The sequence below is a fragment of the Homo sapiens genome, chromosome 1, assembly GCF_000001405.40.
Source record: "Homo sapiens chromosome 1, GRCh38.p14 Primary Assembly".
Classification (NCBI taxonomy): Eukaryota; Metazoa; Chordata; class Mammalia; order Primates; family Hominidae; genus Homo; species Homo sapiens.
The window spans coordinates 20,063,876-20,084,690 of NC_000001.11; the positions used below are offsets into that span (position 1 = coordinate 20,063,876).

The window sequence follows — 20,815 nt, forward strand, 5'->3', positions numbered from 1 at the left end:
TCATCATGTTTGCCACCTGCTTAAGACTCTCCTTCAAGTAAGCAAGTAAGCAGCATGTTCTTACTGACCACAAAGTAGCCATTGTTGGGGCAACTCTGGCAGTGACCTTGATCGCCTCTAGAATGCAAAATGCACTTGACTTATGCAAATACCAACACTTAGTGGCCCTTTGACTGCCAGGGAGCATTATGGACCTTTCGCTGAGTTTCACTTGGACATATGAACTTCTGATCTCAACTGACTCATTTAGTTGGAGCAGGGAATCCCAATGCCTTTGGAAATAGAAAATGGATATGACTCAGGATGAAACATCAGTGGAAACAGACCTTTCAAGATTTTTTAAAAAAATATAACTACTGGTTAGCATAGTCATAAAATTAGATAGTTCTTCTTCCTTATTTAGAAAACAGAATACAGACCGGGTGTGGTGGCTCATGCCTATAATCCCAGCACTTTGGGAGGCTGAGGCAGGCAGATGATTTGAGGTCAGGAGTTCAAGACCAGCCTGACCAACATGGTGAAATCCTGTCTCTACTAAAAATACAAAAAATTAGCTGGGCATGGTGGTGCATACCTGTAGTCCCAGCTACATGGGAGGCTGAGGTGGCAGGATCGCTTGAACCTGGGAGGCGGAGGTTGCAGTGAGCTGAGATCATGCCACTGTACTTTAGCCTGGGTGACAGAGCGAGACTCCATCTCAAAAAAGGAAAAAAAAAAAAAAGGAAACAGAATACAAGGTCAGGCATGGTAACTCACACCTGTAATCCCAGCACTTTGGGAGGCCAAGGTGGGAGGATTGTTTGAGGCCAGGAGTTCGAGGCCAGCCTGGCCAACATAGTAAGACCCTGTATCTACAATAAAAGAAAAAGAAAGAAAACAGAGTACAAAGGGTGGAGTCTGGGTCTCCAGTCTTGTTTGTCTGCTTGTAGGTCCTGCTATTCCAAGTGTGGACCATGTACCAGCTCCATGGGAATCACCAGGGAGCTTGTTAAAAATGTAAAAATCTCAGGCTTTCCCCCAGACCTGGTAGATCACAACCTGTATCTTAGCAAGATCCCCCAGTTGACTTGTAGACACAGGAAAATTTGAGATGTACTGCCTGAGAGCACCAAAACATGTCAAACACAAAATAGACCTGAAACAAAGGAAGAAAATAAAGTATTTACCATGCTTGCATTGTAATGAGAATGCACGCAATAACTTCAGGACATTTATGACAATAGGAATTCTTTTTAAATTAGTAGATGGTTCTTTTTAGAACAGCTTTAGATTTACATAAGAATTGTATAGAGTTCCCATATACCGCCCCCTTATCCCAACATATACAGATTTTCCTCTTATTAACATCATGAATTAGTGTGGCACACTTGTTAAAATTGACTCAATATTGATATATTATTATTAAAGCCCATAGTATACATTAAGGTTCACCTTTGTGATGTGCAGTTCTATGGGTTTTGACAAATGCATAATGTCATGTATCCACCATCACCATATCCTACAGAACAGTTTCACTGCCCTGAAAATTCTCTGTGCTCTGCCTGTTCATCCCTCTGTCCTCCCAAACCCCTGGCAACCACTGATCTTTCTACTGTCTCCATAGTTTTAATTATTCCAGAATGTCATATAGCTGGAGTTATACAGTATATATCCTTTTCAGATTGAATTAATTTATGCCTTTATGTTCCTCCATGTCTTTTTGTGATTTGATAGCTTATTTCTTTTTGATAGCTTATTTCTTATACTATTGCTAAATAGCATCCCATTGTATGGCTGTATCAGAGTTTGTTTATACATTCATCTATTGAAAACTCTTTTGGTTGCATCCATTTTGGGAAAATGATGAATAAGGCTGCTGTAAACATTTGTGTGCAGGTTTTTGAGTGACCATAAGTTTTCAGCTCTGTTGGGTAAATACTTAGGAGTACAATTGCTGGATTGAATGGTAACACTATATTTAGCTTTGTAAGAAACTGTCAAATTGGAGCAGGGTGTGGTGGCATGTACCTGTAGTCCCAGCTACTCAGGAGGCTGAGGCAGGAGGGATTTCTTGGGCCGAGGAGTTTGAGACTGGAGTATGCTATAATCACACTTGTGAATAGCCACTGCACAGATGCACAAAAGAAACTGTCAAACTGTCTTCCAAAGTGGCCGTGCCATTTTGAATTTCCACTGGCATTGAATGAGAGTCCCTGTTCCACATCCTTGGCAGCATTTGTGGTGTTAACGTTTTGGATTTTAGCCATCCTCGTAGGTATGTCATAGTTATTTTGATTTGCAATTTCTAATGACATATGATATTGAATGTGTTTTCATATGCTTAACTGTCATCTGTATGTCTTCTTTGGTGAAGTGTCTGTTCAGATCTTTTGCTCATTTTTTAATTGAGTTATTCATTTTCTTATTTTTGAGTTTTAGGAGTTCACTGTATATTTTGGACACAAGTCCTTTATCAGATATGTGTTTTGGAAGCATTTCTCTTAGTCTGTGACTTTTGTATTGTTCACAAAGCAGGAGTTTCATATTTTAATAAAGTCCAACTTAACATTTCTTTTCCCAGCTCCACATTCAGTGGTATCATGTTGGTAACTTGGGATCAGCCATATTGGGGGTATTTACACTGAAGAAATTGGCAGACTCTACAAATCAGGGATTTCCACCTTCCTTACAAGAGTTGATTGTTAAACCATTTTATAGCACACGACTGCCTCCTATGAACTTTCTATTGAATCATTCCAGTTGGTCTATTACTTTAGTTATAACTTTTTTTATGTACCAGAGAAGCTTTTTGTTTTGTGTACATATGTAAGATATTGGTATTTTATTTTTCTTTTGATTTAATTTCTCTTGGCAAGGCATGGTAGCTCATGCCTATAATTCTAGGACTTTGGGAGGCAGAGGCAGGAGGACTGCTTGAGGCCAGGAGTTCCAAAACAGCCAGAGCAACATAGCAAGACCTCATCTCTAAAAAGAAAAAAAAATTAGTCAGCTGTGGTGACATGTGCCTGTAGTCCGAGCTACTTGGGAGGCTTGGGTGGCAGGATCTTTTGAGCTGAGTAGTTCGAGATGGTAGTGAGCCATTATCACACCACTGCATTCCAGCCTGAGTGACAGAGTGAGACCTTGTCTTTTTTTTCTGAGACAGGGTCACACTCTGTCACCCAGGCTGCAGTGCAGTAGCACAATCATGGCTCACTGCAGCCTCTGCCTGTGAGGCTCAAGCGATCCTCCCACCTTAGCCTCCCAAGTAGCTGGACTACACGTGCACACCACCATGCCCAAGTACTTTTTGAATTTTGGGTAGAGATGGAGTCTCCCTATGTTGCCCAGGCTAGTCTCCGAGTCCTGGGCTCAAGTGATCCCACCTCAGTCTCCCAAAGTACTGAAGTACTGAGATTACAGGTGTGAGCCATCTCATCCAGCAAGACCCTATCTCTTGGAAAAAAAGAATAACCAAAATATGTCTAAAGAAGAGAGAAGAGGGATTTTCCTTAGTATATATGAAGACTTAAAAAAAATTACAGTAATTAGGCCAGGTTTGGTGGCTCACGCCTGTAATTCCAGCACTTTGGGAGGCCGAGGCGGGCAGCTTGCCTGAGCTCAGGAGTTCGAGACCAGCTTGGGCAACACGGTGAAACTCTGTCTTTACAAAAATACAAAAAATTAGCCAGGTGTGGTGGTGTACACTTGTAGTCCCAGCTACTCAGGAGGCTGAGGCAGGAGAATTCCTTGAACCTGGGAGGCAGAGGTTGCAGTGAGCTGAGATTGCACTGCTGCACTCCAGCCTGGGCGACAGAGTGAGACTCTGTCTCAAACAAAAAAAAAAATTATAGTAATTAGGCAGAGTGATATTAGGGCAAGTGTAGAAAAATAGATCAAAGCAACATAAGGGAAGCCCAGAAATAGATCTAAGCATAGGTGGAAACTTACGTGATAAAGAAAACATTAAAATCAGAGGGGAGGCCGGGCGCGGTGGCTCATGCCTGTAATCCCAACACTTTGAGAGGCTGAGGCAGGCGGATCTCCTGAGGTAAGGAGTTCGTGACCAGCCTCGCCAACATGGTGGAACCTCATCTCTACTAAAAATACAAAAATTAGCCAGGCATGGTGACAGGCCCCCGTAATCCCAGCTTCTCCGGAGGCTAAGGCAGCAGAATCGCTTGAACCTGGGAGTGGAGGTTGCAGTGAACCAAGATCGTGCCATTGCACTCCAGCCTGGGCGACAAGAGCGAGACTCCGTCTCAAAAAAAATAAATAAAAAATAAATACATAAAAATAAAATAAAATCAGAGGGGAAACACTGGGCTGTTCAACAAAAGGTGCTGGAATCATTGACTTTCCTTACGGGTAAATAAAACTAAATTTCTGCCTCATACTACACATGAAAATAAACTCCAAATGAATTAAAGGATTAAAGCCCTAAGTGTAAAACCCCGAAATTTAGAACCAATAGGAGAAAGATACTGAGAAAAATATTGTTAAACTCATGTTACAGAGAGGCATGCAGGACTTTGCAAACAAGGTACTAAACATTACTGATTGATAACTTGTATGGCATGAAAGTTAAAAGTGGTAGTTTTTTTTTTTTTTTTTTGAGATGGGATCTTACTCTGTTGCCCAGGCTGGAGTGCAATGGCACAATCTCTGCTCACTGTAACCTCCGCCTCCTGGGTTCAAGCGATTCTCCTGCCTCAGCCTCCTGAGTAGCTGGGATTACAGGCATGTGCCACCATGCCTGGCTAATTTTATATTTTTAGTAGAGACGGGGTTTCTCCATGTTGGTCAGGCTGGTCTGGAACTCCCGACCTCAGCTGATCCGCCCACCTCGGCCTCCCAAAGTGCTGGGATTACAGGAGTGAGCCCCCACGCCCGGCCAAAAGTTTTTATATTATAAAAATGCCATAAATAAAAGACAACTGGCATGCTTACAGAATATATTTGCAACATATATAGCAAACACTTGTTGTCTTGTTTTCCAATGTGTTGCCTCCTGGAAGCCGCTGATACAGAAGCCTGAGGGAACACACTCCCCCCTACGTCCTTCTCCAACACAGCAGAGCCAGGAAGGACCCGGATGGAAGTTAGGACAAAGAGGCCCAGAATTGGCACAGATACCAACAGACCATTCGTTGAAGAAGAAATCCAAATGGCCATAAGGTGTGTGTAAAAATGCTCAGTTGCACCAACAGCTAGGGGAAGCAAGTGAAAACAATGATACGCAATTTTATACTCATCAGATTGGGAAGAATTGACAAATGTGATATTATCAAGTGCTGGCTATGGTGCCGCTAGGAATGTAAACTGGCACATCCATTGAAGAGAGTATTTTAGGAATGACTGGTAACGTTGAAAATGTGCATGCCCCTCATCTGACCTATGCAATATGCTTACAAAAAACATTTAACCTGATAATCATGAGGAAGCAATAGGCAAATCCAAATTGGTGAGTATTCTGCAAGACAACTGGTCTGGGTTCAAGAGCATCAATGTCATTTTAAAGAAGAAACCAGATTAAGTCTGGCCGTGGTGGCTCACACCTGTAATTCCAGCACTTTGGAAGGCTGAGGCAGGTGGATCATTTGAACTCAGGAGTTTGAGACCAGACTGGGCAATATGGTGAAACCCCTTTCCACAAAAAATACAAAAAATTAGCCAGGCATGGGGTGGCATGTGCCTGTGGTCCCAGCTACTGGGAGGATCGCTGAAGCCCAGGAAGCCGAGGCTGCAGTGAGCTGAGATTGCACCACTGCACTCCAGCCTGGGTGACAGAGTGAGACCTCAGCTCAGAAAAGAAAGAAAGAAAGAAAGAAAGAAAGAAAGAAAGAAAGAAAGAAAGAAAGAAACCAGATTAAAGAACTTTCTAGATTAAAGGACACCAAAGAGCCACAACAATTAGATGCAATGCCTGATTCTTGTTGGGATTCTGGATCGGAAAAAAGCCAACAAATTGGATATAAAAACCATTATTGGGACAATAGGGGAAATTTGTATATTAGATAGTTTTACTGTATACTAGATACAGTATTGTGTTCATGTTCTTGTCCCCGCCAAGACTGATGAGCCCCCAGGGACTCAGATAGTCAAGATTCTAAGCAGGCTGTCAGAGCCTTAACAAGGTTCTGAGCCCAGGACTGAGGTAGGGGTTACTTCGGGCTGAGGGGATTAGCAAAGGCTTGTGAAGTGGCTAAAGCCGTGACCTGGATATTTCAGGACTCAAATCCACCCGCATTGGAATTCTCTGGGTGACTGCCCAGCCCCTTTGGCAGGACAGCCAGCCACAGGCCCTGATTGTGCAGGACTTCCTGCCTCTGCAAAGGCAGTCGGGGGCTGAGCAGGGTTCTACCCGGCTGGGTCCAGGCAGAAGTTTTTCCTCCCCACCTCCGGGTTTGTCCTCATCATCGGTCACTCCCATTCACAGCTTTAAGATTCTGGAGGCCAAGAATTTGACTCCCCCCGGATCCATGGTCTGTGGATACCAATGTTCCGACTGGAGACGGGGAGCCCGCGAGACCCGGGTCTCCAGGGTCTGCCCAAGGAAGTTGCTCATGGGAGCAGACCTCTAGAGCAGGATTTGAGGCCAGGCCAAAGAGGTTAGTTACTGATGGGGGCTGCATAAATTGGGGGTTGTGGAGGGACGCCAGCTGGGAGGGAGAGACTGGAGAAGGGGGTGTGTGGAGAGCCCAAGAGGAGGCCCAGGGGGAGGTGCGCAGGCACAGCCTCTGTTGAAGGAGTCTCTCTAAGGCTGCTAGGGTCCTTCACCTGTCATTGTCAGGCCTGGAGAGCGGGCTTTTAAGGAGGCCAGGCCACACCTCAAGGGAAGATGGAGGTTACCGGAAGGTCATACCTAAAATTACGGGCAAAACCAGGGAGAGTTATGAACAGGCTGAGTTAGGACTTGTGTTTACGTTAATCTGAGGCCTTGCTTGGATTTCTTTTTAACCTAAACCACAGGCAAATATTCCCCTTTAGGGAGAGAATTCGCCGACATCTATTTAACATCCCTTAATTGTTGAGAGCATCCACTGTGTGCCAGACACTTCGGTACACACAGAAAGAAACCCAGAGGAGGGTAAGATGCCCTTATAGGGAGATCTTTCTCCTCCCTTCCTCCATCTCTCCCTCTCTCTCTCTCTCGCTTCCCTCTCTGAAGACGGTCTAGCTTTGGGCTAAGTATACGTGGCCTCAGGAGTCAAATGGATCAGGACAACTCCGAGCTTTGTCACTGACCAGCTGGGCACAGGTGTGAGTCATTTTTTTTTCTTCAAGCCTCAGTGTCCCAATCTGCAAAGTGCATATGATGGTAATATCTACCTCATAGGGTCACCCTAGGGATAAAATGAGAGAAGGCCCATAAAGAACTTAGTGTGGTATCTGGGCTCAATAAGGCATCAGCTATTTTTATTAGCCATTCAACAAACATTTTTTCCTAGGATCCAATCTGTGCCATGCAGAGTGCTAGGTGCTGCCAGGGAGAGATAAATGAGACACCCTCAAGGATTCACAGTCTAGTTTGTTCATTTGTTGATTGATTTCATCAATAAATATGTATCATGCCCTACACTGAGCACTGGAGATGTCAAAGTATTAATAAAAGACACTGTCCCTGTCCGCAGGTTGCTCACAGCCTGGTGGGAGAGACATTGCAACACAATGTGATTGGTGCTGTGAAGAGAGAGAGCACACGGTACTGGGAGAGCTCAGGGCAGGGGGTTGATCCAGTTCCGGGCAGGGCGATGGATTCACAAGACATTTTGGCAAAGGTAGACCCAGCTTCCGTGTTTCCCAGCTCACAGGTGCACTCCTACCCTGGGGCCTTTGTACTTGCTCTTCCCTCTGCCTGGAGCTTTCTTCCCCTAGGATGTCCCCATAGCTTGCTCCTTCACGGCTTTACTCAAGTGTCACCTCCCCAGCAAGACCTTTCTTGGCCACCCTGTTTAAAGTGGCCACTCCAGCCCAGTGTGGTGGCTCATGCCTGTAATCCCAGCACTTTGGGAGGCCGACGTGGGTGGATCACTTGAGGCCAGGAGATCGAGACCAATCTGGCCAACATGGTGAAGCCCTGTCCCTACTAAAAATACAAAAATTAGCCAGGTATGATGGTGCACAGCTGTAGTCCCACCTACTCAGGAGGCTGAGGCAGGAGAATTGCTTGAACCCAGGTGGCGGAGGTTGCAGTGAGCTGAGATCGCACCGCTGCGCTCCAGCCTGGGGCAACAGAGCAAGATGTCTCAAAAATAAATAAATAAAGTGGCCACTCCCACCATCAACAGTCCCCGTCCCCATCCCCAAACACACACACTCAGCACTCCCACCCTGCTCCCTGCTTTATTTTTCTCCATTTCATCGATCACCACCTGACAAGCTGTACATTTTACTTATTCGCTTGTCTATTTCTGGCTTCTCCCTCCAGAATGCAAGCTCTGCCATGAGGGTAGGGTTCTCAGCTGTTTTGCTCTTTGCTGTATCCCCAGTGTCTAGAACAGTGCCTGGCACATGATACGTGCTTGCTAAATAGTTATTGAATGATAAGTACGTTAAGTTTACAAAGATGAGTAGGAGTTGAGTAAGACAAGAAAGGGAGGGAATAACAGATGAAAAGGGAACAGGGGGAGGGAGAGAGAGACAGAGAAAGAGAGAGAGAGATTGAAATTAGTGAGTTTAAGGAACTAAAAGCCTTCACATCCAGCTTATTCCCAGGAATGCGTTAGGGGTGGTATAAGGCAAGGCTGGCGTAGGTTGGGGGCCAAGCTGTGCGAGGCCATGTCCTGTGAGGGGAGACAGGTGCCTCTGACTTGGGCGGATGTGCTATGTGCTGTTACAGAGGTTAGGAAGATTGACCCAGGAAAAAAGGAGGAAGCCATGAACTCTGCTGGGGAGCTATCAGGGAAGGTGTCTCAAAAGAGGAGGCACCTCCTCTTAGGCCCAGGGAAAAAGTTTCAGTGTTATTCTAGACGTGACGGACATTCTGAAGGCCTGTTCCCACATCCCCTGTCTTAACAGACAGACACTGGGTTAGAAACTTTTCGGTGCTTGCACGGGTGGATTTCACTTTGCATTTGGTCCTCGTAGTGCCTAACGGGACCTCTGCCCACAAAATTGCTCAAGAAAGATTTGCTGGGTTGGATTGGGATTGAGGCAGGTGGAGCGGCCTTGAATTGTAGATGATTCAGGCTCATGAGCCTAGAACCTTGGGCACCATCTGTGATCTTGCCAGGCAGAGTGACAGCCTTTCCTAGGGTTTCTCCCTCCTCAAAAAAAGAAGGGACATTAACCATGTGGAAAAACAAGTAGATTTTAACCAGTTAGAAAAAGAGAGTGGAGAGCATTTTAGGTGGAGGAAAAACAACAGAAACAAAGACAGAAAGGAAGGTTAGTTCATGGGAGATTTCTTAAGAGTGAACAGTTTAATGGATTACATTTTTCAAAGATAAAACATGTATTTGCTATGAAGTTGGTGTGTGGATTGCCTTCTTAGCCAAAGTTATGGTGAAAGTTGAACTTGAGCCTGTTATTAACCAATAGCTGTAACATATGTATAAGCTGCATGTGCATGCTAGGCTGACACCCAGATAGAACTAGTGGTGTGTATCTTTACAGGAAGCTGCCAATTTACAGCCTGGCTGAAACCCACTTGGGGCTGCTTCTACTTCCACATTTAATTGGTTCATCCATCCCATCATTCTTTTATTCCACAAATAATTATCAGCCACCAGATATGCATTAGGGGCCGGGTGCGGTGGCTGACACCTGTGACCCCAGCATTTTGGGAGGCAGAGGCAGGCAGATCATTTGAGGTTGGGAGTTCGAGACCAGCCTGGCCAACATGGTGAAACCCCGTCTCTATGAAAAATACAAAAATTAGCCCAGCGTGGTAATCCCAGCTACTCAAGAGGCTGAGGCAGGAGAATCACTTGAACCTGAGAGGCGGAGGTTGCAGTGAGCCGAGATCACACCATTGCACTCCAGCCTGGGCGACAGAGGGAGACTCCATCCAAAAAAAAAAGAAGATATGCATTAGGCCCTCTGCTACCTGCTAATAATATAACAAAGAACAAGATGAACATGTTTCCCGCCCTCAGATGCCTATATTCTAGGGGCAGGCATAAGGCACATGAGCCATAAACAAGTAAGTAAAAGAGAGTTAAAGATGACGGTCAGTGCCATGAAGGGGAAAAACAGGGTGACCTTGGGTAGGTAGTCAGGGGAGGCCTCCTGGAGAAGGTGGCATTTAAGGCGAGACCTGGAGGATAAAGAATCAAGGACTAAGTATTCTAGGCAGGGGGAGCAGGAAATGCAAAAGCTGTTGTTGGAAAAGCTCAGAGAGTTCAAGAATAAGTCAATTCGAGAGCACAGAATGTCAGAGCCTGCGGGCATCCTGGAGCCCATCCACTTCTCTCATGCTGGTCATTGCTCTTGTAACATATCTGCACACGACTCTGGCCTGCATAAACTGTTGCAGGGAGGGGGTCCTACAGGGCAGGGAGCACAAAATAATTGACAGCTCTCTCCATGTTACGGAGCAACTGAAGGGCTTATGAGTTTTCTTTGTTTTTGAACCTTGGCAAAATGTAATTTTAAAAACATTTTTTACAGGATAGAACCGAGGCTTCATAACTGACGAAGCTGACTTCATGAGCTTTGACAGATCTTGTCTGCATTTTAAGTGTTTCCAACACTTAAAGATTAAGTTCCTTTTCCTGAGAAGTCGAGCGGGGGCATATCCCACCCACTCAGTGCCCACCTCCCATGCGACATTTCTTTTCCTAAAAAGTGGCAAATAAAAAGTGCCTTCCGGGGAGAGGAAACTCACCACTCCCAAGACAGCTCATTCAATTCCCAGGACACATGAGCTGTTAGAAAAACGTTCTTGGATTGAGCCAAAATCTGACTGCTTAGCGCGTCCGTGCCTGGTGGGTGTTGGTTCCGCAATCTGGAGCCACATGGGACAGTTCTGATTCCTCCTACTCCCCACAGCCCTTCAGAGATTTGGAGACAGACTGGGTACCCCCAGCCACTTTCCAAACCCAAGTCAGCCCCAATTCCCTCCCTTCTGTCTCCTGTGATCCAGACACCTCCTAAGCCTCCTCACATGGGGGCCCAGGGCCAGGCACATCCCTCTGGGTGTGGCCTGCTAGGAACCCTCGTTCTGGGCACCACAGTCCTGCCACCACCGCCAAAGATGACCACTGCCTCTGTGATGTGACTAGTACTGGGTTTGGGGGTCACGCATGTGATTGCTGAGCTGTGTTACCCACCCTGTCCTTGTGCAGTTCAGCTTTGGGGGTCTTTGGACAGGGCCTATTCACTCTCTTCTTATAGAACTCAGGTTATCTTGTTCTTGATCAAGATCAGGATAAGATCAGGACAAGATCAAGATCCAACCTCCTTAGCCTGACCCCCAAGGGCCTTTGTGACCTACCCAGCTCCATCTCTTTGGCCAGTCCTTCCCACCATTCCTGAATTCCTACTAAACACTTGAAGAAAGTTTCTGAGCAGTCACTTGGGGGCATGTCCCACCATCCTGTTAAAAATAACCAGTATTTATTGAGACCTTACTATGTGCCTAAACATCTACCGTGTATCAACTCAGAACATAGACATGAGACAGGTACAATTATTTACCCAATTATTCATGATGGTGAACTAAGGCACAGAGCAGTTAAGAAAGTTGCCAGAGGTCACACAGCTAATAAGTGGTCGTTCCAGGGCATGGGCACCATGCATCCAGCCTCAGTCCATGGTGTGCAGCTTGTATTGGCTTATGAGGGCTGACCAGTGATTCCTCCAGGCAGAGAGCAATTGTGAGGCAGATTAGACTTAAGACTGTAAGGAGTGGTTAAGGACTAGGGCAGAGCAAAACACATACCACATCTATGGGGGCAGCTACTTCTTGGCAATGGCCAGTTGTTGCCTGTAGGAGTCCAGACCCAGGATTCCTAGATCTTTTAAAAAGAAACTGGAAATGGAAATGTGGAAATGTGGATTTCTTTCTCTTTTTTTTTTTTTTTTTTTTTGAGACAAAGTCTCACTCTGTCCCCCAGGATGGTGTGCAGTGGCGCAACCTCGGCTCACTGCAACCCCCGCCTTCCGGGTTCAAGCGATTCTCCTGCCTCAGCCTCCCAAGTAGCTAGGATTACAGGCACTCGCCACCACACCCAGCTAATTTTTGTACTTTTTAGTAGAGACAGGGTTTCACCTCACTGGCCAGGCTGGTCTCGAACTCCTGACCTCAATTCGGGCCTGCCTCGGGCTCCCAAAGTGCTGGTATTACAGGCATGAGCCACTGTGCCTGGCCTGGAAATGTGGATGTCTGTCTAGGATCTCTTAGCATTTATACATTGGCAGCTAATTCCATTTTGTTTTTTTTAAAGCACCGTGTAGATCAAGCAAAGCATTTCTTAGGGCTGTATGGAGCCCTGGGCTGAAAGTTTATAACCAAAAATCCAGTTCCACTCATCGGCAATTATTGGAACACTGAACCAACTTAACCAACTGTAACTCAGCTCTCACTTTTCCACCTTGTTTATAAGGAAACCACGTGACACTCTGGTTAGATGTCTTGTGAAAATCCCAATCATTATGTCCTTACTGGGTCTCAACCCTTTTTTGTAAAGAACACAGATTTGACAGACAGATGGGTCAGGTGTACGATTCTGGGTCCTCCTTTTACTAACTGTGTGACCTTGGATGAGGTACCTAACATCTGCCCCTCTGTTTCCTTGCTTACACGTTGGGATCATAATGCCCCATGAGATTTTGTGAAGATTAAGGAATACCATGAATGCTGAACTTGCCTTGCACTTGTAGCATAGCAAATGTTCATTAAAGACCGAGTTCTTCCCTCATTCCTTTCTGAGCCATCAGCCTTGTAATCCCCTCCAACAGGAAATGCCAGAGTGGACAGCATATCAGATGAGTTCTATAACATTCCAGAGACAGGTAAGCTCCCTGTGGAAAGAAGGATCATGGAAGACTTCCCGGAGGAGGAGGACTTGATGTAGATTTTCTGCCAATGAGCTCTGGGTAATCCTGTTGCATGTGCCAATAAACCATTTGACAAGGCCAGGGATATCTCAGCAGCTTAGGTTCTCAGGGTGAGGGAGTTTCCAGGTTTCCATGGCTACCCTTGGCAGGGCTTTAGCCCTGGGGCGAGCCTGCATGTGATAGACCCAGCAAATGACAGAGAACAAGTGTGTTTATGTGATGTTTAATTAGTTCTACAAATAGTTCTTGAGGATCTATAATGGGTCAGACATTGTTCCAGGTGCTAAGATCAGAAATGGATCAGAGGACAATTTTGCCCTCAAGAGGCTTCCATTCAATTGGAGGTGGAAGTGGCTGGGGCATCTTTAATCACCGAAGTGTGAATGATTGGATCCATTGCCAAGAAAGGGGAACTGGGAAAGACTGTTTTGAGGGGACAGTGAGTTTAGTTCTGAGGTTCCCAAGGGTTATTGGGATAGAATATCAGACTCTATCTATCATCTGTCTATCTATCCATCCATCCATCTCTGTGTAATCATATTTGACGTGTGGACTGGGCAGTGGGGTGAGAATGGAGCTGGAGCCAGAGGAGTCGTGCATTCACTCAGCAAACTCTTACTGAGCACCTACTATGTGCCAAGTGTTGGGTTACAGAGGCGAAGCAGACGCAGAGCCTACCCTCATGGAGTTCTCAGTTTACTGGAAAGACATAATCACAATATTTATGGTAGTTATGACTTACTGAGCACCTACAGGGTGCCAGGCACTGTCCCGGGCCGTTCTGCCTGACTTATCTCATCGAATTATCAGCGTTACTAAGTGAGTCTGGTTCTATGATTATCCTATTTTACACAGATAAAACTGAGACCCAAAGAGGAGAAAAAGCTGGTTCAGGTGACACAGTGGTCACAGCTGAGACACAGATTTGAACACACGTCTCTCCTACGTTGGATCTTGGATCTGACATTGTGCTTTCTCCTGGTTGCTGTATTCAGTCATTCCTTCATTAAGCATTGTTTGTTGAGTCAAAGCTAGGGCCAAACTTCTCTGTCCGGGACACCCCCGGATGCCTGCATAGAAATAAGAGCTAAATCCCTGAACTCGAATGAGCTCATCCAGAGAGTGGCTGAGACAGAGAAGGGCAACTCCAGAGGGCAGGTCCCACAAACACACCTGCATTTGGGGGGCCAGCAGAGATGGGATGGGGGGATTAGCCACAGGAGGGCAGGCGGCACAGTGCAGCCTTGTGAAGCCCAGAGGGAGAGAGAGTTTCGAGAAGGAGGAGGTGGACTTCAAGATGAGTGCCCTGAAGGACTGAGGAGGTGACCCCCAAGCTTGGGCTATGCCAGGCTTTGGGGGTCCCTGAGGGCAAGCTCAAGGATGCAGCAGATGCCAGGCAGTGAAGGGTTCAGAGTGGGGGATGACGAAGGGCAGCCTTCTCTGTTTAGAAATTTGACTTTTAGAGAAAAAAAGAAGTAGAATTGTCCCTAGAGGCAAGGGATTTTTTTTTCTTTTTTGTGGCTTGGTTTTGTTTGGTTGAGAATGGCGGAGCAGGTGTGTGTTCGTAGGTGGGGGAAGAAACTGGTTGAGAAGAAGAAACGAAAATACAGGATGGGGAGAGGACTCTTCCCCATGGCTCTGATCACCGCCAGACACCATCTGTGTTTACTTCTGTCTTCACGATCTGTTTCCCACCAGCCACAAGGGCAGCTCTGTGAAGGCACAAGTTCTGTCTCATTCACCGTGGGATCCCAGTGCCTGGCACGTAGTAGACACTTCATAAATATTTTTGATATTGAGTTGAATTCACAGGGTTCTTCCGGGAGCCCAGTGGTTAGTCCTAGGAAGAGAAGGGTTCATGGGGGCCTTAAGGAGGGGCTTCTCTCTGATGCTACCATGACAAGAGAGAGGGAGAGAAAAAGAAGTCAACACAAGTAGAGGCAGGAGCCAAAAATCCAAGTCTTTGGCGGGGTACAGTGGCTCATGCCTGTCATCCCAGCACTTTGGGAGGCACGGGTGAGAGGATCACTTGACCCCAGGAATTCGAGACTAGCCTGGGCAACATGGTGGGACCCCGACTCTATAAAAAATGCACAAAGAAATTAGCCAGGCATGGTGGTGCCCACTGTAGTCTCAGCTACTCGAGAGGCAGAGGCAGGAGGGAAGATGGCTTGAGCCCAGGAGGTGGAGGCTGCAGTGAGATGTGATTGTGTCTCTGCACTCCAGCCTGGGGGACAGAGACAGACCCTGTCTCAAAAAAAAAAAAAAAAAAAAAATCCAAGTCTTCTCAAAAAAGTGTGTGTGGGGTGGTGGTGTGAAGGGTGGAATTAACAGAAGTAGAAAATGGAGAATACTAGTAGCTACTTATGTCCTGTGAGAACATTCTAGAAGGTGAGCTGTCATTGATTTATTAGCATTACTCTGCCTTTGCTATGGCTCTAAGTTATAAATTTAAGAATTCATTTAATCCTAACAACAGCTCTCTGAGGCAAATGAGCTTCAGTCAGCCCTGAGGTGATGTGGCTAGTGGTGAGGAAGCCAGGATTTGAACCCAGGACTTGGAGCTGATATAGAGCCTGTGATGTTACCCACTGGGCCATATACTTCCCCAACTGACATTAGTTTATATGCCTTATTTTTATTTTTATGTATTCATTTATTCATTAATAGAGACAGGGGCTTGCTTTGTTGCTCAGGCTAGAGTGCAGTGGTGCAATCACAGTTCACTGTAACCTGGACCTCCTGGGCTCGGGCCATCCTCCCACCTGAGCCTCCCAGGGTGAGCCATTGTGCCTGACCCACATGTGCCTTGTTTTATATACTACATTCCTCACCAGGAGCCTCTGGGTTTGGAGGGGCTCATAATTCTCATGTTTTACATTAAGAACAGAGAAATATAGTGACTTGCCCAGGGTCACACAGATACTAAGTGGCTGAGCTGGGACTCCAGCTTGCATCTCTCTAACCGCAAGCCTGGCACTTTCCCCTTCCCTGAGAGAAGAACTGTAGGAAGTTAGCACAGAGTCAGGTGCCAAAAAAGGGCTACCACCTGGACGTGGCAGGCAACATTCTGTGGTGTTTCTGCAGGCATCTCCCGAGTCACCCCAGCTCAGGAACAAGGCAGAAAAAGTTGGGGGTTGGCAAGTTAGGAACAAGAGGAAGAGGACGGGGACAAAGCTGCAAGTCCGGGAGCGGGGCTGCCTGTCTTCTCTGGCAGTTCCTGGGTTGAGGCTGAGCAAAACAGGATAAAATCTGAGCAGGAGCCCACGGCTGGGGGACTTGGCAAAGACCCAGTGTGGTGGGTGGGAGGGAGGCTGTGCCCTGGAGGGGGATTCCAGGGTTCCTGTTCTTAGTGGGGAAGAGCCCTGGATCGAGGGTGGCCCAAGCTCAACTCTGATCACTGTCCCTCCTGATAGCCACCTGGGCACTGTGACCTGCTTCAGAAAACAGCTGCTTCTGTGGCAGTAATCCCAGCACTTTGGGAGTGTGAGGTGGGTGGATCACTTGAGGTCAGGAGTTCGAGACCAGCCTGACCAACATAGTAAAACCCCGTCTCTACTAAAAATACAAAAATTAGCCAGGCGTAGTGGCATGCACCTGTAATCCTAGATACTTAGGAGGTTGAGGCAGGACAATTGTTTGAACCAGGGAGGCAGAGGCTGCAGTGATCTGAGATAGGGCTACTGTCCTCCAGTCTGAGGGAAAGCCAGACTTCGTCTCAAAAAAACAACCAAAATAAACAACTGCTTCTGAATACACAATGGAAAAAAATCCCCAGGGGTTGTGCCAGGGTGAGGGGAAGTAGGGCTTCCTGTGTGACTTACCAGGAATCTTGGAGCTGGCCCATGCAGGGGTGTGGGAGGTGACAGAGAGGTCTTTAAAACCAGGTGGGCCCAGCCCCGGCCTCTTCTGTGGGCCTGAGGACGGAGAAAAGGTCTCACTGGTGAGGAATCTCATCTTTGGGGCTGCTTTGCCTGAGGGAGGTGCAGAGAGCAGGGCCGAGAGAGGGGCTATGAGAGGAGACACCTGGCCCCCTTGGTCAGGGGAGCAGGGCCCGAAGAGGAGTGAACCCCCATCACCTCTCTCACAGACAGCAGGAGGGCTCAGCAGTGCCTTCCGTGCAATGAGGCTCCGCACTGTGCGTTCTTTCCAGCCAGGAGACCTGAACTGGGAGGTCTTGGAGCTGCTGCATGTGGACTTGGGGGACCCGTCCCTTGGCAACCTGGCCACGTCCTGGCCTCCACATCTTCCTATGGGCTGTCCGTCTCTATTCTCTCCCCTCTCATTACTGCAACCGCTGCCCTCCTCTGAAATTCTCTCGCGGCTATGCGCTTCCTCTCTGTGGTCGTTTGATTAAAATAGCTGAGTCCACATCCTCCTCCTGGCGCCCGCTTTGGGCTCTGCTGAGTGGATGGCTCTCCACTCTTCGGGGCAGCCACTCCATGCCTCTGCCACCTCCACCATGAAACTGCTTTTTTACTCTTTCCAGGGTGTGGGTTTTCTCCAGGTATGGGGAGGCCAACAGATCAAGAAATGATTGCCATTGAAAAGATAGCTTGTTATTTACAGCTCCCAGAAGAAGGCGTGCTTCCACCCAGGGCCACGCAGGAAGTGCCAGGTCGGCAGGTCAGGAGGAGCCACGGGAAGCATCGCCCAGGGCCTTTGCTGTGATCTCTGGGAAAGGCTGGTGGGGCAGGGGACACAGTTTAGGACCGGTCAGTTTGAATCATGTCAGTGGAACTCCAGGCTTCCCTAGTTGTCCAGTTTCTGGCCCTGGGGTGATTTAGGGCAGGAGAAACCTTGGCTTGGAGTGTGAGAGTGAGGGAAAGGTGGCCCGGGTGTACCAAGGCACTGGTTGTGTCAGCAGTGGGACGTATCCATACAGGCCTCAGCATCCTCAGGTCTTGCCTCCTCAGAAGAAAGAATTCTCATGGCTGTAATCCCAGCACTTTAGGAGGCCGAGGTGGGCGGATCCTGAGGTCAGGAGATTGAGACCATCCTGGCTAACATGGTGAAACCCATCTCTACTGAAAATACAAAAAATTAGCCAGGCGTGGTGGCAGGCACCTGTAATCTCAGCTACTTGGGAGGCTGAGGCAGGAGAATCACTTGAACCTGGGAGGTGGAGGTTGCAGTGAGCCGAGATGGTGCCACTGCACTCCAGCCTGGTGACAGAGTGAGACAAAAAAAAGAATTCGACTGAGGGACATAAGGCAGAAGGAGAGACTGAGGCAAGTTTCACAGCAGAAGTGAAAGCTTATTAAAAAGCTTTAGAGCAGGGATGAAAAGAAGTAAAGTACACTTGGAAGAGGGGCCAACCAGGCGACTTGAGAGATTCAGGGGTTCTGTTTGACCTTTGACTTGGGGTTTTATACATGGCATACTTCAGGGGTCTTGTTTTCCTTATCCCCTGATTCCTCCCTTGGGTTGGTGGGGTGGGCTGTCCGCACGCTCAGTGACCTGCCAGCACTTGGGAGGGAGCATGCACAGTGTGTTGACTGTAGTTGTACGCATGCTCCCTTGAGGCGTTCTTCCCTTACCAGCCGAACGTCCCTAGCAGGTCATATACCAGTTAAATGCCGCCATTTTGCCTCTTCATGCACATGTGTGAGCCCACTCACCCAGCTCCTGAGATCTTACTGGAAGCTGCTGATCACCTGCTTCAGGTATTCCTGTTTATTGGGAGACTACCTTTCCCTGGTGCTGGCTGTGACCAGTTATTATTTTAGAGAGATGGTTAATAATTTCCTGCCCATCACCTGATGGTTGCCTGACATTCCTGCCCTGCTCCTGTCTGACCAGCTACCTACTGTCACAGTTGGTCTGTATATGAAAGGCATGCTCACAGAGGAGCCATCTGAGGTGTCTAGGAATTAACTAGCAGCCCTGGAAGGAGCAGGCTGTCTCTGGCCTCCAAGATGTCAAAGCGTCCTAAAATATAGAAAATCAAAAGCATGTTTAGTGCCCAGGGATGCTCAGAGGCAGTGGAGTAGAGTCAGTCAAGGAAATAGATTCACAGTTATGGGCTAAACCCTTGGGGACCTCACTTCAATTGTCTGAGCCTCAATTTCCTTATCTGTAAAATCAACAACTGTTATTCATTGAACAAGTGACTGTTTAAAAGGACAGACACCGGGCCTGCCAAGGTCATTGATGGGTTTAGAGAGATAGAGGATAGTGCTTGGCACACCAGAGGTGCTCAGTGAGTGGCAGGTGGTGTCCTTGTGCCACAGCTCCAGGGAGCAGCAGAGAAAGATTGGTGTGGAATGGTGGGGTCTAGGGCCATTTCTTTGGCTGTTTGGAGCCCTTGGAGCAGAGGCTATGGGTGGACAGAACCCTCAGGAATGTTCTTGGGATTCAGAGTTGCTGCTGGACAAGGGTTGTCCCAGAGGCCAGCTGTGGACAGAACCTTCAGGAATGTTCTTGGAATTCAGAGTTGCTACTGGACAAGGGCTGGCCTGCCAGCCCAGTAGCCAGGAGCCCAGGGGAGTCTGAAGCATGTTTGGAGGCCAGGTCTTGGGAGGCGCCAGGGGTTCAGGTAGAGCTCTGGCACAAGCGACCGTTCAACTCAGGGACTTGAGACAACAGAGCACTGAAGGGGAGAGCCCCAGGCCTGCCGAGCTGTGGACAAACAAGGACTTTGGATCCTAGGAGGAAGGCAATCAGGCAGCTGCCGGCAAGGAACCTCTGAGAAGCCAAATTAGAATCAGGTGCTGGCCTGAGACACATGGAATTTCCTGGACTCTAAGCTGGCAATGGCTGTTTTTACCAAAGACAGATTCTAAGGAGTGAAGCCAAGGGCTCTGGCCTGAGAGGTAGAGCATGAGAAGGAACAAACACAGACCCCTAAAGGATTCATGCCTCTGGGAAGGGAGGCTGCGTGGTGCAGTGAGGGGTGCAGAAGGACGCGGCTCGAATCCAGCCTCCACTGCTTAATGGCTGTGTGACCTCTGGCAAGGTCCCTGAGCTTTCTGAGCCTCAACTTTCCCAGTGGCAAAATGAGAACAGTAATACCTACCCTGCAGCACTCTCGTGAGCCCCCAGGGTTGACTTATTCTTTAGGTAGACACAGTGCCTGGGTCCCAGGAGAGTGTCTTAATTTTATAAATTCTTTTAAAATCAAGAGGAAGGAAATGAACATAATAATGAATATATAATAATAAATCCAGCTTGGATTACATTTTTCTTTATAGCATCATAGTTGTCAAAAATAATTATGTGAATATAGATATAAAGATATAGCAGAAAGATGCCTACAAAGGCAAAAGCGCTTGGGGCCCATAAGAGCCATAATCAGGCCCTGAAAGCCACTGGCACATTGTGGGAGCCCAGGCTTCACTGCTGAGCACCTCCTCTGGGCCAGGCACTATTCTCAGTGGTAGAATAGAGGTGTGCATCCGCCCAGCCTCTGCCTGCAAAGAACCATCAGGGTAGACATCCTTAAAAACAGGCAACTACAGCACTGTGAGCTAAAAGGAGTATGAGATGTAGAATCACCGGCTTTCCTTCTGCCCTCCTGCTGTGGGCGTCAAGTGCTCTCTGTCCAGGAATTTTTTTCTTCCGTCTTACATCTTTCATCAAAGGCCATGTCTAGGTTATATCAAGTCCTGCTTCTCCACGTATGCCACCAAATCTCCATTTAAGAATCCTGCCCATTCTCTGGTCCCTTTTAGCCATTTTGCCAACGGGGTGAGTATGTCTGGGGTGTTTGTGGCTAAAAGTGCACTGGTGGTAGGGACAGTGTCCCTGCAAATGCTTCCATTATTGTCCCTCTGCCTCCAGGGCCCTCAGTGGACCTACAGTTTTTTGCCTCATCTTTTCTGGCTGGACT

General features: G+C 47.5%; 1 protein-coding gene across 17 annotated transcripts in view, besides 8 other annotated features; it reads left to right on the plus strand.

Annotated features, from left to right (window-relative positions):
• The window catches only part of PLA2G5 (phospholipase A2 group V), a 63,504-nt gene that overhangs the window by 35,468 nt on the left and 7,221 nt on the right, over positions 1 to 20,815 (plus strand). For 5 of the 17 annotated variants that reach the window (XM_047422608.1, XM_047422616.1, XM_005245891.6 and 2 more), the window contains one exon: positions 4,998 to 5,157. The exons of 2 other annotated variants lie outside the window; for them this stretch is intronic. In XM_047422608.1, the coding sequence (XP_047278564.1) occupies positions 5,075 to 5,157 (83 nt within the window). In that variant the 5' untranslated portion in view covers positions 4,998 to 5,074. Of the gene's footprint in view, positions 1 to 4,997; positions 5,158 to 6,318; positions 6,591 to 6,969; positions 7,070 to 7,613; positions 7,761 to 12,885; positions 12,940 to 20,815 lie in introns of those variants that run through there. 10 more of the 17 variants (XM_047422645.1, XM_047422643.1, XM_047422635.1 and 7 more) reach the window with 9 other exon arrangements.
• Positions 121 to 415: a silencer, noted in NCBI's record as "tiled region #6877; HepG2 Repressive non-DNase unmatched - State 7:EnhWF". NCBI's record gives its function as "represses a minimal TATA promoter and a strong SV40 promoter by Sharpr-MPRA in HepG2 cells {active_cell/tissue: HepG2}" and the evidence as "EXISTENCE:reporter gene assay evidence [ECO:0000049][PMID:27701403]".
• Positions 6,195 to 6,364: an enhancer, noted in NCBI's record as "experimental_1646 CRE fragment used in MPRA reporter constructs". NCBI's record gives its function as "activates a minimal promoter by MPRAs in K562 erythroleukemia cells, with activity observed for the non-introgressed 1:20396648 variant allele {active_cell/tissue: K562}" and the evidence as "EXISTENCE:reporter gene assay evidence [ECO:0000049][PMID:34662402]".
• Positions 9,697 to 9,866: an enhancer, noted in NCBI's record as "experimental_1651 CRE fragment used in MPRA reporter constructs". NCBI's record gives its function as "activates a minimal promoter by MPRAs in K562 erythroleukemia cells, with activity observed for both the introgressed and non-introgressed 1:20400150 variant alleles {active_cell/tissue: K562}" and the evidence as "EXISTENCE:reporter gene assay evidence [ECO:0000049][PMID:34662402]".
• Positions 14,766 to 14,885: an enhancer, noted in NCBI's record as "active region_310". NCBI's record gives its function as "activates an Ori minimal core promoter by ATAC-STARR-seq in GM12878 lymphoblastoid cells {active_cell/tissue: GM12878}" and the evidence as "EXISTENCE:reporter gene assay evidence [ECO:0000049][PMID:35858748]".
• Positions 17,152 to 17,201: an enhancer, noted in NCBI's record as "active region_311". NCBI's record gives its function as "activates an Ori minimal core promoter by ATAC-STARR-seq in GM12878 lymphoblastoid cells {active_cell/tissue: GM12878}" and the evidence as "EXISTENCE:reporter gene assay evidence [ECO:0000049][PMID:35858748]".
• Positions 17,222 to 17,301: an enhancer, noted in NCBI's record as "active region_312". NCBI's record gives its function as "activates an Ori minimal core promoter by ATAC-STARR-seq in GM12878 lymphoblastoid cells {active_cell/tissue: GM12878}" and the evidence as "EXISTENCE:reporter gene assay evidence [ECO:0000049][PMID:35858748]".
• Positions 18,378 to 18,547: an enhancer, noted in NCBI's record as "experimental_1658 CRE fragment used in MPRA reporter constructs". NCBI's record gives its function as "activates a minimal promoter by MPRAs in K562 erythroleukemia cells, with activity observed for both the introgressed and non-introgressed 1:20408831 variant alleles {active_cell/tissue: K562}" and the evidence as "EXISTENCE:reporter gene assay evidence [ECO:0000049][PMID:34662402]".
• Positions 18,626 to 18,795: an enhancer, noted in NCBI's record as "experimental_1659 CRE fragment used in MPRA reporter constructs". NCBI's record gives its function as "activates a minimal promoter by MPRAs in K562 erythroleukemia cells, with activity observed for both the introgressed and non-introgressed 1:20409079 variant alleles {active_cell/tissue: K562}" and the evidence as "EXISTENCE:reporter gene assay evidence [ECO:0000049][PMID:34662402]".